General features: G+C 41.4%; 1 long non-coding RNA gene across 1 annotated transcript in view, besides 2 other annotated features; it reads left to right on the plus strand.

Annotated features, from left to right (window-relative positions):
- The window catches only part of LINC02389 (long intergenic non-protein coding RNA 2389), a 93,749-nt gene continuing 79,701 nt past the window's right edge, over positions 2,741-16,788 (plus strand). The window contains exon 1 of the long non-coding RNA NR_033988.1: positions 2,741-2,832. This is a non-coding gene — a long non-coding RNA (long intergenic non-protein coding RNA 2389). The remainder of the gene's footprint in view (positions 2,833-16,788) is intronic.
- Positions 7,820-8,462: an enhancer, noted in NCBI's record as "OCT4-NANOG hESC enhancer chr12:65282633-65283275 (GRCh37/hg19 assembly coordinates)". NCBI's record gives its function as "activates a minimal SCP1, AML or CMV promoter by ChIP-STARR-seq in naive H9 embryonic stem cells {active_cell/tissue: H9 hESC(naive)}" and the evidence as "EXISTENCE:reporter gene assay evidence [ECO:0000049][PMID:30033119]".
- Positions 8,463-9,104: an enhancer, noted in NCBI's record as "OCT4-NANOG hESC enhancer chr12:65283276-65283917 (GRCh37/hg19 assembly coordinates)". NCBI's record gives its function as "activates a minimal SCP1, AML or CMV promoter by ChIP-STARR-seq in naive H9 embryonic stem cells {active_cell/tissue: H9 hESC(naive)}" and the evidence as "EXISTENCE:reporter gene assay evidence [ECO:0000049][PMID:30033119]".

A 16,788-nucleotide genomic window follows, 5' to 3' on the forward strand; every position in this document is an offset into this window, starting at 1 on the left:
CTCCTTAGTAATTGTTTTCTTTTTGAGACAGGGTCTCACTCTGTTGTCGAGGCTGGGGTGCAGTGGCACAATCTTGGCTCACTGCAGCCTCCGCCTCCCATGTTCAAGTGATTCTCCTGCCTCAGTCTCCCAAGTAGCTGGGACTACCAAGTGTGCACCACTATTCCCGGCTAATTTTTCTATTTTTAGTAGAGATGGGGTTTCATCATGTCCACCAGGCTGGTCTTGAACTCCTGGCCTCAAGCAATCCGCCCACCTTGGCCTCCCAAAGTGCTAGGATTACAGATGTGAGCCACTGTGCCTGGCCTTCCTTAGTAATTTGAACGTTGAACTAAGTTTAGCAACCACTGAACAAGTTAACTATAGCCATATATCACCTGATGACGGGGGTAACGATGGGGAAATTGTTAGGTAATTTCAACATTGTGCGAATATCACGGAGTGTGCTCACACAAACCTAGATGGTATAGCCTACTACACACCTGGGCTATATGGTGTAGCCTATTGCTCCTAGGCTACAAACCTGTATAGCAAGTTACTGTGCCGAACACTGCAGTCAGTTGTAACACAATGGTAATTGTGTATCTAAACATATTAGAAAAGGTACAGTAAAAATACAGTATTACAATCACACAGGACCACCATAGCACATGAGGTCCATCGTTGACTGAAACGTGGTGTGGCACATGACTGTATTGTAATGGTCTCCTAACTGGTCTCACTGCCATCCATTTTGGACCCTCCCCCTGCCCACCCCACCTCTCTGCTGCTTGGCTATACACTGCTGCCAGAATGATCTTTCTAAAATGAAAAACTAATTGGGCCATCCCTCTGGTCAAAATCTTTCTTCAATTTCTGGAGGGTAAAAGCTAAAATCCTTATCTTAGCATGATTTGACCCATGGTTAATTTTCCGTCTTATTTTCCCACAGCTTCCCCATTCATTACCTCGTGCAACCTATCCTCACCAGCACCATAATATCAACCATTGGTGGAGCTCCTTGAGCTCAGCACTATACTAGCTCCTTTGTGCTATCTCACTTATTCCTCCCAAGAGCTCTGTGAAGCTTACTGGCACTGTATTACAGATGATGAAGGTGAAGTGAGCAGTTACATCCTTGGCCAGTTGGAAGGAGGTGGATGAATTCCCCTATGTGATCAACAGTTTTCTGGGAGGAAACTTCCTGATACCTCAACCTAGGAATCTCTCTATCCCTGGAGAGTCCAGAAATCTATATTAAAATGTGAAACAAAGCAAAAAAACAAACAAACCTCCCTTAGTAATTTTTTTTTGTTTTTGAGACAGGGTCTTGCTCTGTCGCCCAGGCTGGAGTGCAGTAGCGCAATCTCAGCTCACTGCAACCTGCTCACTGCAACCTATTTAGCTGGCAAATAACATCTGGATCTATCTGACACCAGAGCCTGAGCTTTTCCTTTGCTACACTGTCTTATAACTTTGCCCATAACTCCAAGTTCCCTGAAGGCCCCCCACTCCGCTAATGCCCTCATACTGCTGTGTATTCATAAATCCTTGCTTCGAGCACCCTCCTTGCTTCAGTCTGCCTGGCAGATACCTACCTATCCTTTTGGTCTCATCGCACACATTAATGAGGTAAAATCCAATCTATGCCACTATATGATTTGGGGCAAGTTACTTAACATCTGAGACCTTCAATTTCCACATCTGTACAATGAGAATAATTTCAATCTCATAGGGTTTGTTGTGGACAATTGCCGTCTTTGCTGCCCAGAATTTACTATGCTTTGGCAACATTGCCTTAATTTTGCTTGGGGAGCCAGCCCTCCTCCACCTCTGCCCATGTACTTCCGGTGACAGTGATGGCCCTGGAGGGAGCACAGGGCCTGAGCTCAGACACTCAGCACTCTTCCTCCTCCTCACCATGGTGTCTGACCCATGGATGAGCCACAGGAAAAGAAGCTCAATTCCTAGGCTCTTGTTTTGAACTCTCACGTAAGCAGACTCACTCATTTCTACTGGATTTGGTCCTAAGTTGCTAAAGTTTGGGGAAAATTGGGTTACATATAGCTTATGTGATTAACTCCATAAATGAATATGCAACAGAATTTAACCTGGAAGGAAAAAGCCCAGGAGTTGTTGCTGGCAGCTCTCTTGTAACCATGAGGGGAGAGCTTGTTGGAGAAGAGTTAACACTCAGCAAGCAGAGCTGAGAAACAGAGAGAAAGCAGGCTGCTTTCAGGGCCTGTGAGCTCTGGATCAGGCCACGCCCAAAGCCAATTTGTCTCAGCTTATTTACTATATCAGCTAACATTCCAATTTTGGGGTTTAGCCAGTTTGGTCAGATTTTCTACCACTCATGTTGAAAAACTCTTAACTGAAACAGAGGTGTTGTGAAGATTACAGATTATAAGGGCAAAATGGTGGCTGTATCAGTGAACAGTAGTCAGGATTATTTTTTACTTTCCAGTGACTCAAACCTCTCCTAAACTGCTCTCTCAGTTTTGGCTCCGTCTTCCCATGATAATAATAGGTGGTGTAGAGAGGTGACAGAGTCAAGGAACATGGTTCTTGTTTTCTGAAGATGGTTCTTTCCTCAAGCCCTTTGAGTCTTCTTTGGTCTTATATTCTCATCACAGAAGGAGAGGTGATTGTCTTTCCCCAGTTTTGTCTACCATTCCGGTTCCATCTGCATTCCCGGAGGAGTCCTGTTGAGGGCAGAGTGACTGTGAGCAAAACAAGAAGAGCTGTGTCACCAAGTTCCATAAAATCTGGGAGCCCAAGCAGCATATTTGTGGGATTTGTCTGACAGAACGCAATGGAAACAGAGCGTGGCATTCGCTCCATCTCCCCCAGGTGAGCGGCAGCTTTCTCACGGGGGGTCGGGGGCGGGGGGGGGGGGGGGCTCTAGGGCATCTCTAATGGCGTCTGCGGGGAAGCAGCAGGGCTGGGTGAGAAAGTGGGTCTCACGGGACCTGCAGTGTTCAGCAGAGCCGTGGGAGTGCCTGCTGGGAGCATACTTGTTTGGGAACACATGAGAGGCACCCCCTGAAGATTTCAAGAAAACCGGATAGCATTAGGAGATATACCTAATATAAATGACGAGTTAATGGGTGCAGCACACCAACATGGCACATGTATACATATGTAACAAACCTGCACGTTGTGCACATGTACCCTAGAACTTAAAGTATAATAAAAAAAAATATATATATATACATATAAAAAGAAAACCTTGCCCAGTTAAGGGGATGGGAGGACTTTATAGGCCCTGTTTCAAAATATGTCTGTGAGAACGGTGTTGAGTCATTGTTGCTGCAGGGACCCTATCTGGACCAAGAAGTTGCTAAGGTCTGGGGAAGGTTGAGCTACATATAACGTATGTGATGAACTCCACAAATGTCTATGCAACAGAATTTAACAGATGGTGAAAAGTGTAAAGATTTTTGTTGCATGTATAGCTATGGAGCAGAATTTCTAGTACATTTGTCAAGTGTGAAACAAATTACAGAATCATGATATTATTTAATAAAAAGTGGTTATATCACAATAATAAACATTACTAATGGCAATCCTAGGCATCATGTAGCTCAATGATTTTCAAAGGTTTTTAAGGAGCAGAACATTATAAAATTATTGTTTAGACTTGTACTTTAAGTAGATAATATTTGCACAAGGTGAAAATTTAACATGTACGAAAAAGCACATAGGAAAACTAGGTCTCCCTCCACCCCTTGTCCCCTATCCACTCAAAGCTTCTACCCACAGGAAACCGATGTTACTCCTTTCTTTTGTATCCTTTCAGAGATGTTTTATGCATATTCAAGCACATTCTCACACACACACTTTCGTAAGCAGTAACACAATAACCTTCTGAACTTTCCTTTTTCACTATGTACCATGGAGATTGTTCCAGAACAGTGCAAGTAGAGCCACCTCGTTCTTTTTTACTGCTGCATAGATTTCCATTTCAGGTCTGTGCACAATACATTTATTCTCTAATCTATTATTAGATTATTTGTTTGCTTCCAATTTCATATCTATGGAATATGCATATCCTTGTACATATGATGTAATATTGCTAATAAGGAAGTTAGCTAAAGAATAAATTCTAAGACATGGAATTACTTGTCAACAATGCACATTTAAAATTTTGATACATGTTGCCAAATTGCTCTCCACAGATGTTCCATAAGTTTCTGCTTCCATCAGCAATGTAAGGAAGTGCCCAATTCCTCCTACCCCCACATTACTGAGAATCTTATCAAATTTTTTGATCTTTTCTGATTGGGTGAGTACTTAATGTATGTTTGAAAAATATGCATAAGGTTGACATATATTTAAAAGTTATTTATATGTCCTTTGTTCATAGGCTTTGCTCATTCTTGCTGTTTTTTTTCTTACTGGTTTTTTTTTTTTTTTTTTTGAGATGGAGTCTCACTCTGTTGCCCAGGCTGGAGTGCAGTGGTGCGATCTCGGCTCACTGCAAGCTCCGCCTCCCGGGTTCATGCCATTCTCCTGCCTCAGCCTCCCGTGTAGCTGGGACTACAGGTGCCCGCCACCACGCCTGGCTAATTTTTGTATTTTTTTTTTAGTAGAGATGGGGGTTTCACCATGTTAGCCAGGATGGTCTTGATCTCCTGACCTCGTGATCAGCCTGCCTCGGCCTCCCAGAGTGCTGGGATTAGAGGCATGAGCCACCACACCCAGCCTTTTTCTTACTGATTTGTGAGTTTTTTATGCGTTAAGAAAAACATCCTTGTCTGTAATCTGTGTCACAATATTTTTCTCATTTTGTCAATTATCTTTTGACTTTGTTCATGCTGATTTACTGACATGTATATAGATTTAAGGTCATTTTTATTTGGTCATATCTATTAATCTTTTCTATTATAGCTTCTGGGTTTTGTGTGATGTTTGGAAAGGCTCTCTCTACTTCTTTGTGGTTAAAGTTCTTTAATTTTTTCCTTCTACTAGTTTTATGGTTTCATTTTTTATGTTTAAATCTGACTCATTTGGAATTTACTTTTGTGTAAGTTGGGAACTAAGGTTCCATCTTAACATTTATTTTTTCCAAATAGTTACCTAGTGGTGCCGGCACCATTTATTAATCTTTCCCCTATTGATTAAAAATGCCACCTTTATAATCACATACTAAATCCCTGTATGTTTTAGGGTGAATATCTGGACTTTTGGAGTACAACTGAACCACTACCCTCATTCAGGTGGGGGCAGAGAGGCCAGAGCTCTGCACACTGGTTTCCTCTCTGGTTGCCAGCATTACCCCTGAAGTTGCTTTGGGGGAGATCTTGGGGTTCTGGGGAACAGAGTTTGGAAACTACCAGTCTGGACCACTCTTTTTTTTCACTGATGAAAATCTGTAGCTCGGTGTAATTAAGTGACTTAAAATAACATTCTGACATTGGCAAGTTGCCATATGTTCCCAATCCCCTAACCCCCACCATGTGCATGGAGTATATCATTGGTGTAGGAGGCTCACTGATATGAGAATCACAGGAGAGCCCACAGCTGCTGTTAGGGACTGCTATAGTGTCAGAAGGCCTCATCCATGTATTTGGGGGAAAGAATGTTCCAGAAAGAGGAAACAGCAAGTACAAAGTTTCTGAGCTACATATGTAGAGAGATATAGGTATAGGTATAGAAATAGTATAGATAATTTAGAAAGACAGAGATAGAGACAGACCTAGAGATTAGAATGTGCTTCAGCTAAGAATAGGACCATTTTTACTTAGCATGCTGTTCATAGTAATAAGTTGCTGTTATAATTTTCACAGCCAAAAATCCATACATGATGTTATTTGTATTGTTTATGTTGTTTTATATATTATTTTTATTTATGCTTATATTTTCACAGCCCTCCTAAATTGAGTGGAATGATTGCAAAGTGTTTCCAATAAATGAGGATACTCCACCCCTTACCCTCCAAAAGTCTTCTCTTCAATTTGGGTTTGGTGCCAGCAATTTAGTCTTGACTGATACAATAACATTTCAAATTTCTAGAAATAGTTGGGGGAGGGGAAGACTAGCCTGTGTTGTAGAGCTTTGAAGAGATAAAAATAGCTTTGCACCTGATGCCTCTCCCTGAGAAAGTAGTCAGCCCCAGAGAGTCCCAGTTCCACCTTCTTTTGAAATTATCTTAGAGGTAACCAATGGATCCCCTCCAGGAGGGACTGTCCATCCCCACCAGGTGCAGAGAATGAACCACTCCTTAAGTTTGCCTGGTAAATGGTTTGGAGTGTCACTGCTAGACATGGTGGCTGTGATGTCACTACTGTGTGTATCTTGAAAGGTCAATAAAGAATGAGTAAAACATTTGAAGAGGTTCTTATTCAACAACAATATTTGTTTAAAGGCTTGCCAAAAACACAAAACAAAGCCTTAAACCCCAAACCTTTAATAGTATAAAAATAACAAGGCTTAAGTCATAAACATTGGATTTCCAGAATTTAAAAAGATAATTTTTGAAAAAGGAATTACATCAAGAAAATTTTTTTTGAATTGACTGTCTTCTAAAACAAATTAAAAAAACAAAAACAAGAAAAGCAATTAAAAAAAACAGTTGCTAATGTTCAATCCGGAGAAATGGATGGATTCCAGTATTTTATTCACAAACAAGCTTCATCCAAATGGCAGAACAACAGGGGTCTGGCTTCTGCATGGCTCAGGCCTGAGTTTCTGAACCGGAGGGTATATGGTGAGGTTGGGATTAAGGGTTTTCCTGCCTCATTTAATTAGGGCCTAGTCACAGTTGCACCAGCAGTTGTTTTCACATCCAATTCTGTTGGCCTTATAGTCTGGGAAAATTCTCCCAACTCCAACAATGAACTGACTTGGAACTTGAGACTCTGCGGTGCTGATATTGACATCAGAAAATCTGGACACTGCTCCAGGGTTCTTTCATAAAGTCCGAGAGGTCATACTATTTTCATAGCAACATCAGGGCGTGATTTGCCTTTTTCACTCCCATTTTCTCACAAGTATACAAGGAGGTTTTCAGAGGCTGCATAATGTGTGATATCACAACAGCTTGAATGCAGGAGCAGATAGGAGAACCCAGCTGTCTTCTATTAAACCACATAGGAAAGAGATTTGCAAAAATGTAAAGCAATACTGCTCTTTCACCAAATATTTTTGTTTTGGAAAATGTGGTTATTTTTCATAGAATCTTATTTATGATAATGGATTTATTGTATTTTTAAAAGAATTAAAATATTTTGACTTTACTTATAATACACTAAATAAAAGATATCATGTATAAGCTCTTTAGGGTCCTCATAATTTTTGAGAGCTTATGTTAAGTTTAAATCTTGTCTAAAGAGGTTTAGAGACCATAAATTTTGAGAATTATGAGTCTATGGGATAGTGAAGGAAGATAAACACAAAATAACAATTAATATTTATTGAGTGCTTCCTGTTTGACAGGCACTGTGCTAAGAGCCTTACATGGATTGCCTCCTTTAATTCTCATAACCACCCCTCAGAGTAAATACCAGTGTTTCTTCTTTTATTTTTAAGAGACAGGGTCTCACTTTTCCACGCAGGCTGAAGTGCAGTGGCACAATCATAGCTCGGTGTAATCTTGAACTCCTGGGCTCAAGTGATCCTCCTGCCTTGGCCTCCCAAAATGCTGGGACTACAGGCGCGTGCCACCACGCCTGGCTTTAGTGTTCCTTCTTCTGCAATAGATGAGGAAACTGGAGCTTGGAGAGGATGTTACTTTCTCAAGGTCATAGAGCCAGAGAGTGGCAGAGGATGAAATTGAACCTGGGTGTGTGGCTGTAGCTCCCTTATTCTTAACCACTTGGTGACGGTCCTTCTAAAAGCCTGTCCCCCCAACCCCCAAACCACTGCACTAATGTGATGTAATGGAAGATTGTGATCTGGGAGGCAACGGGAGAGGATATTGTACTACAGACACTCAGAAAATCTTTCTCTCTCAGAGTCAGGGTTGGACTGGAACAACTGCTGGCCTCTCATGGTGTGTGCACACCACATGGGCAACTAGATCCTAAAATACAGTGACCCACACTGGTGTCCCTCCTCTTTTAAGTTGCTTTGGGAACAAAAGGGCCATGATTATTAAAAAGTCATAGTTTTGCAGGAAATGGAAGCCAAGACCCATTAACAGGGGTACAGCTAATGGGCATGGTGTATGAAAGAGGCAAGGGCCGCTTGGCATTGTTTTTCACTCTTAGATAAAGCCGGAAAGGACGTCAGAACAATGGCATGTTTTAGCCTAAAGAGAAAAAAAAGTATGTTTCTAATCTGAGGGAAAAATGATGGTGTGTTAAAGAATATGAATTAGTGGATGCTAAAGAGGTCTGTTATTACTCACAAGGGCTAATATTCACACAGAATTGAATTTGACTAGGCTGGCAGAAAAACTTCCAAATATTCCTTTCTGTCCAATGCAGGGATCAGGCATTATCGCCCCAAGGCAGATTTGCCTTAATTGGGCATACATTTGCGAACATTAGCATAATGCCTTTCCATTTCTTCTATTATCTTAACAAATTGCTTTACATTGGCTCTCCTATTGCCTTATCTTTCTTGCCAATAGCACTTGATGGCCCAGTGAAAGGCACTTGGACTTCCCTAAAGATATGCAAACTTCATTAGCCTTGGTTCTTTAAAGGTGTTAGGCTACGCTTTCAAGTCAAAAGTCTGGGATAGTGTCAAGGGATAGGGTGGACTGTCAGAGTAAGAGACACCATGGGTTTGCTGCTTGGCTTCCTTAGTTAACACACTGTGTTTTGCCATGTGAAGGGAGAACTGACAAGGTATTTGGGAACTGAAAAATCGTAGTTACAACTGAGTTCACAAAACTCTGAGCTGGAGTTGGACATGACATTACGGCTTCTCCTGGTAGACGACCTGTGTTCCTCAAGGTCTCCCAAAGGCATGACTAACCACTCTCCTCGGTGTTATCCCGATTCTCCAGTGAGCCATGACCTCATATTATTGACACTAAGAGCAATGTTCTCAGGCCAGGATGGGATTCTGGAGCTTCACAGACCAGTAAAGTCACATTCCTTCCCTCACGGAGTTTAAAGTCCCGCAGGGAAGGACAGTTGGGTGAACGAAAGGCAAACACCAAATGGTAAATGCACACTTGGGAGCTTCCTCTTCTTTGAGATAAGAAGGAAGGCTGAAGAAACAGGAATGTTGAGAAGCTGGTGTGGGGAAGTACAGCAGGTAGAGGTGGGAGAGAGTGACGGAATCTCTACTCCATTTGAACAGGAGATGGGAGTTTGGGCTGTAAGTGAAGGAGGTGGGGGAAATTGCGCTGCAGGAAAGAGAGAGAGAGGTGAAATGAAATAATTGCAGTGGACGTTGGAAATTTAAATCAGATTTAAAAATACTCCTGCCCCCTGGCTTAGGAAAAAAATGAACATAGGTAAGCCTTATCGAAATAAACATCTTCCTTCCATTTCATTTGTTCCTGTTTATGTTTGGAGGATTTGTATTTGATCAGATAGTTAATAAACAGATGAAATATGAGTACAAAGAGAAAGAGTTGCCGTTCCTATAAAATCTAAGATGAAAGCTTTGGAAAGGCTCGATAAAACTGAGTTACCAAAAAAGCATCATTGAATAAAAGGTGAGAGAGACAACTATAAGAGAAAAAAAATCATAAAAATCAGCGGAGGGAATTTTGTTTCACAAGTGTCTTAAGGTTCTCACCATATAATAAGCAAACGCTGGGCACTGTATATGATGTACAATGGTTTGGTTTGTGCAACAGAGACTAGCAGCAACTTGGTGGATCTGCATTCAGGAAAGAGACCCTGGCCATGCATCACATGATTGGTGAATACATGCGTAGTTAGGTGTATGTTCCAGGTTAAAGTGTTTAGTGAGCTCTGCATGTATAATTTTAATGATTCTCTGTTTTACTGACTTTTTTGATTTTTCAACCAATTCCCTGTCAGGTATGGTTGGATAAGAGGTATAAAAGGAGAGTAAAAAGGCTTGGGGTTTTGTTTTTCCCTCCTTCACTTGAAGTGAGCAGGAGTGTGATTATTTCATCTGACCACTAGATGTCACTATTGCTTCATGGAAATATTTTCCAGCTGCTTTGGCTCTAGCAATTTACGCTGGACATTTTACTCTTAACTGAGTGCTTGTGTGAGGAAAGGCAGAATGGGTCCCATTGTTACCTCCTTCACCTGTGCTCTAATCTAGTAAAGTTTAAAAAGTATATAGACGTGGCATTTGAATAAGGGGCACCCAGGTACAAAGTTCCCAGCTAAGGATCATTATTTCTTGAAGAATGACTTCGAAAACGGCTTCCTTTTATTTTATTTTTATTTTTATTTTTTGAGACGGAGTCTTGCTCTGTCACCCAGGCTGGGGTGCAGTGGCATGATCTTGGCTCACTGCAACCTCCACCTCCCGGGTTCAAGCAATACTCCTGCCTCAGCCTCCCAAGTAGCTGGGATTACAGGCGAGCGCCACCACGCCCGGCTAATTTTTGGATTTTTAGTAGAGACAGGGTTTCACTATGTTGGCCAGGCTGGTCTCGAACTCCTGACCTCAAGTGATCTGCCCGCCTCGGCCTCCCAAAGTGCTGGGATCACAGGCGTGAGCCACCTCACCTGGCCCAGCTTCCTTTTAAAACAAGTAGAGTGATTTATTGTAAGTAAGGGAAAATAAATGTTCTGTCTGATTTAGGGCATACACACTACCTTGTGTCCAGTGCAGGTCACTCTGTCATAACAAGCCCCACCAGGTGGCTATCCCTGGCTGCACAAAGGGTAAAGCTGCCGCTGAAGCCCAGCACCCCTCCCCAATGTGAGCCCCTACTCTATATGCTGAGGAATTCCTCAGGTCAGTAAAGTCACCTTCTGAGGAATTCCTCAGCATATAGAGTAGGGGCTCACATTGAGGAGGGAGGAGGGCCAGCCCTACAGTGTCCTGAGCTGGCCATGGAGATCCCCTCTACAGACCCTGACATCTGTTTCAGGGACCTCAGAGTTGAAAGAGCTCTTGGAGGTCACCTGCTTCAGTCTCCCACTTACTGCAAGCAATCCTTTGGTAACATCCTTGGTACATGAGTGCTCACCTGCTGGAACACTCTCTGTACTAAGATCCCTACTTGGTTGGGCGTTTCATTTCCTTGTGCGGCAGCACTGTTAGAAATCATATTCTATATTAAGCCAGAAGTTGCCTCCCTTCAACTTCCTTTAATCATTTTTCATGATTTCCAGACTCCTCATCAATTCAGGAGATAGGAAGGAAGGATGATGAAGGATTGATTCGGGATAATTCAGTCCTTATTTATTGAGCAGCTTTAGGGCCAAGGCCCTGTGCTAAGCAATCCAGAGCATCTCCTGGAGACAGTTGGGATTGTCAGTGTTCTTACTGTGTCTTTCCTGGAATGAGACATAACATTCCAGGTGAGGTCCAATTCATGCAAGGTATAGGGACAATTACTGCACTCGATCTGGAAGCTTCCATTGAATAAGATTATATCAACTTTTTATACACTATAACAATATTGGTTCATTTGTGGTTGAGGTAGATTTAAATTCCCAAGTCTTTTTTTTTCTCAGAATCAGTGTCAAGCAAATTTTTTTTTTCCATTGTGTACTGCTTATTTTTATTTATTTTTTGGAGACAGGGTCTCACTTTGTCATCCAGGCTGGAGTGCAGTGGTGCCATCCTGGCTCACTGCAATCTCAGCCTCCCAGGGTCAAGCGAACCTCCAGCCTCAGCCCACCAAGTATCTGGGACCACAGGCATGTGCCACCACACCCAGCTCATTTAAAAACATTTTTATAGAGCCGCGGTTTCTCCATGTTGCCCAGGCTGGCCTGGAACTCCTGAGCTCAAGCAATCTGCCTGCCTCAGCCTCCCAAAGTGCTAAGATTACAGGTGTGAGCCACTATGCCTGGCCGTGTACTGCTTATTTTTAAATTTAAATTTAATTTTAATTAAATTAATTTTTTTTTTTCTGAGATGGAGTCTCACTCTTGTCGCCCAGGTTGGAGTGCAATGGTGCGATCTCGGCCCACTGCAAACTCCACCTCCCGGGTTCAAGTGATTCTCCTGCCTCAGCCTCCTGAGTAGCTGGGATTACAGGTGCCCTCCACCATGCCTGGCTATTTTTTGGTATTTTTAGTAGAGACGGGGCTTCACCATGTTGGCCAGGCTGGTCTTGAACTCCTGACCTCAGGTGATCCACCTGCCTCGGCCTCCCAAAGTGCTGGGATTACAATCAGTTGTGAGCCACCATGCCTGCCTAATTTAATTTTTTGAGATGGGATCTTATTATGTTGTCCAAACTGCTGTCAAACTCCTGAGCTCAAGTAATCCTCCTGTCTCAGCCTTCTGAGTAGCCGAGATCCATCCTGTACTTTATTTATTATTTAATTTAACTGTTATTTTAAGTTCAGGGGTACGTGCGCAGGTTTGTTATATAGGTACACCTGTGTCATGGGGTTTGTTGTACAGATTATTTTCTCAAATGGTATTTCTATTTTTACGTCTTTGAGGAATTACCACACTGTTTTCCACAATGGTTGAACTAATTTACACCCCCAACAACAATGTATAAGCGTTCCTTTTTCTCCACAACTTCACCAGCGTCTGTTATTTTTTGACTTTTTAATAATAGCCATTCTGACTAGTGTGAAATGGTATCTCATTGTGGTTTTGATTTGCATTTCTCTAACGATCGGTGATGTTGAGCTTTTTTTTCATATGCTTGTTGGCAGCATAAATGTCTTCTTTTGAAAATGTCTATGCCCTTTGTCCACTTTTTAATGGAGTTGTTAGTTTTTCTCTTGTAAATTTGTTTAAGTTCCTTATAGATGCTGGATATTAGACCTTTGTCAGATGCATAGTTTGCAAAAATGTTCTCCCATTCTGTAGGTTGTCTGTTTACTCTGTTGGTAGTTTCCTTTGCTTTGCAGAAACTCTTTAGTTCAATTTATCCTGTAGTTTTTAAACAAAAATTTTCACCACAAACCTAGGTCTTTGTTCATCCATTCATTCAGTTAGTGGCTATTGAGTACTTCACAGTCATACCTGCCACTTAGCTAGGAGATATGACAATTAGTCTACCCTTTGTTCGTTTCTTGTTTTAGTGGACTCTCCCAGGATCCTGTCGTTCACAGATTTGAAACGTATGCTTGCTCTGACTTCATCCTAATTGCTAAAACATGACTGCTTGTGTTTGTTCTACAAGAACTTTAGATGCATCTGACTCATTTTTATGGACTCTGAGTCAATACCAAGGAATATGAATGAAATTTAGCTTGGATTTGGGATTCTATTTATCATCATGTAAAGATGATGCTTTATAATTTTTTTCGAATGGTGACTTAGTTCCACACTTTTAGTTAAATATGGTACACATAGATATGTGATTATCTCAAAGAATTTGCAGAATAATAGTGTGTATCAGGGAAATCAGAAGTGGGTAATATGAAAGCATGTGCCATCCTCCACTGCTGATAGTGCCTGGAGCTCAATTATTGTTTGAGGGAAATATGGCCTTGAAGACTTTTTGGGAATAAAACTTCTAGAAGCTTCTTCTGATTTAAAAGGGTGATCATAAGCAAAAAAGAGGCAGCCTCAGTTTTACAGGGGACTAAATGTTTCTGAGAAACCACTTATCTGTTGTGAGCTAGAACTATATCACACATCTCTTTTCTTACAAAGACACTGACTGGTTACAAGTCTGGTTTTGTTTATGCCTTGCTACAATAACCCATGAATGTCACACCGGCCAGCTAAATACTAATCTATATCAATGGAAGAAATAACCAAGTCAAGTGGTTCCAAGAACTCAGTAAGTGTTGGTCAAAACCCTTGAAATTAACCAAATAATTAATATATTGTCTGATAAAATACCAGATTATTAAATATTAGCCATTATGTGTTTAAAAGGGTTTGTTATGATGAAATTTAGAGTTAGAAATAGCTCCCCCAAGTTTTGGTCCTGAGCTACTCATTTTGGTAAATGACGAGATTAATATCATTAGACAATGTAATTACTATATTTCAGATATTAGTCATATGTGTCAGTTTGATATTTCTACATATATATGCCCTATTCATGCTATACCTAAGCTTCCAGTTTATTTAATTAAGTTGTGACCGTCATAAGTAGGAAAACACATGTTAAATGAAGATAAGAATCTGAACCACAAGAACTGCATGTGACAAATTAATGGGCAATATAATGCAGTGATGAAAGAGATATTTACATTGCAGGCTGCATTTGGAATGCAAATAGTTTGATTATACATTTCCTGGAAAAGTCTCTAAGAGGAATCTAGAATTTGAGGGAAACTTTTGACTCAGATTTTGTTCATAGACAGACTGTTTTTTACTCAGCTTATAGGATATGACACACACTTGGTTTTCCTTCTACCTCACTGATTCCTGCTTTTCAATCTCCTTTGCTGGTATTATATCAAATTTAGCCTAAAGCTGCCTCCTTACATATTTTAAGTTTGGTCTAAAGGTTTCTCTGTACCTTGTGAACCATAACAAGTGGAGGTGTAAACAGACCCATATCCTACAGTTGTGCCAATCACCGAGTCTTGGCCAATCAAATGTAGCCAACTGTTCAAACCATGTTCAAATAAGGCAAATGCTGAGCCGTAACCAATCCAGCTGTTTTTGTACCTCACTTCCATTACCTATTCATCACTTTCCTTTTTCTGTCCATGAATCTTCTTCCCCCATGTGGCTGCGCTGGAATCTCAGAGCCTATTCTGGCTCAGAAGGCTGCCTGGTTGACGAATCATTCATTGCTCAGTTAAACTCCATTACGTTTAATTCAGCTGAAGTTTTTATCACTGGTTTCTCCTTTTCTTCCCATCCATTTAATACTGAGGTGCCTTGGGGCTCAGCCCTAGCCCCTCTTTATCTATATCTACTCCCTTGGTGACCTGTTCCAGGTTCATGTCTTTAAATACCGTCTTTATGCCAACAAGTCCCAAATGTGTGCCTTTAGTCCAGAACTCCCTCTGAGTACCAGACACAAGAACATCCAAATATGAACTCCTGATCTTCCTTCCAAACCTGCCCCCCTCAGCTTTTTCATCTCAGTTGATGATAACTAAGCGTAGCAGTTTATTAGGTCAGAAAAGTGACAAGAGACTTGCAGAGACTTGTGTGGAGTTTGAGTTTTCTCTGAATAAGTTAAGAAGACAGAGTGTTTTGAGCAAGAAGTGGAATTATCTGGCATATTTTAAAGGGCTCATTCTGGTTGTTTTGCAGAGAGTAGACAGTGGAGGCACAAAGATATATCAGGAGAGACCAGTTAGGAGGCTGCTGCGACGACCCAGGTGTGAGATCATGATGACTTGGATCAGGGTAGTAGTAGTGGTAAGAAGTGGTCAGATTCTGGATGTGTTTTCAAGGTAGAGTTAATAGGATTTCTTGGCAGGATGCAGGATGTGAAAGAAAGAGAAGTCAGGGATTATTCCAAGACTTTTAGTTTGAGCAACTGGAAGAGTGGTGTTACCTTCAGCTGAGATGGGGAAGATTGCATAGGGAGTTTGGGATGTCCACTAGATATTGAAGCAAAATGTTTGAATGGGAATTTGAACATTTTAGTCCATTTGAAGTTCAAGAGAGAGGTCTGGACTGGATATGTAAAACTGGGAATCATTGGCATATAGATAGTATTTAAAACCTCAGACTGGAAGAGATCACTAAGGTCTAAGACACTTATAGTAAAGAGAATTTCCTATAGACCTAGAGCATTTGTTCTCAACCAGAGGTGCTTCCCTGGGGATATTTGACAATGTCTAGAAACATTTTTGGTTGTGGGGAGTGGTTGCTACTGGTACCTAGTGGACAGAGAGCAGGGATGCTACTATATATATATCTATCCTATAATGCCTAGCACAGCCCCCAACAACAAAGAATTATCTGGCCAAAAAGTCAGTAGTGTCAAAGTTGAGAAACCCTTGTGTAGATGGAGAAGACCAAGGACAGAGCCTGGGACACTGCAATATTTAAGAGGTAGAGAGGAAGAGGAGGAACCAGCAAAGGAGACAGAAGAGTAATCAGGCAAATACGAGGAAACTAAAAGTTGTGGATCCTGGAAGGCAAGTGAAGAAAGTTTATCAACAAGGAGGTGTGTCAAATGCTGCTGATTAGGGGCATGGCATCAGGTGCCTGTAGTCCCAGCTACTGGGGAGGCTGAGGCAGGAGGATCACTTGAGCCCCAGAGTTCAAGGCCAACCTGGGCACCATAGTGAGATGATGTCTCCAGAAAAAAAAATGCTGCTAAGTCAAATTGGTTGATAACTGAGAATTATTCATTGTATTTATCATCATGCGTGTCATTTATGACCTTGAGAAAAACAGTTTCAGTGTATGTGTTGGGTGGACTTAAGACAGAATGGAAGGAAAGGGAGATTGCAGACAACTAGTACTTAAAAGTTTTGGGAGAGGTTTTTTTGCAAAGGAAAACAAAGAAATGGGGCAATGGCTGGTAAGTATCAGAGAATTGGGCGTGAGTTTAGAGTGCTGACTGTCAGACCACATCAAGGGCCTTAGAACCAAGGACAAGGCAGATCCAGGTTGAAATGATTCTGGACACAGGTCTAGAATGAGAAAAAGGTCTAGAAATTAATTATTTTTGTTGGGTGATGGCTTCATGAGTCAGAGGCAGGTCTGATGGCTGGGGCCAACTGGACCAGACAGTTCTAAGACACACTATTCTTTATATTCTATCCTTTTCAGTCCAAATAAAGGACTGGAGCTGGCATATGAATTCTTCACAATAACTCAGTACAAGATTCCTTGCTGTCTCTGACTTCT

The sequence above is a fragment of the Homo sapiens genome, chromosome 12, assembly GCF_000001405.40.
Source record: "Homo sapiens chromosome 12, GRCh38.p14 Primary Assembly".
Taxonomy (NCBI): Eukaryota; Metazoa; Chordata; class Mammalia; order Primates; family Hominidae; genus Homo; species Homo sapiens.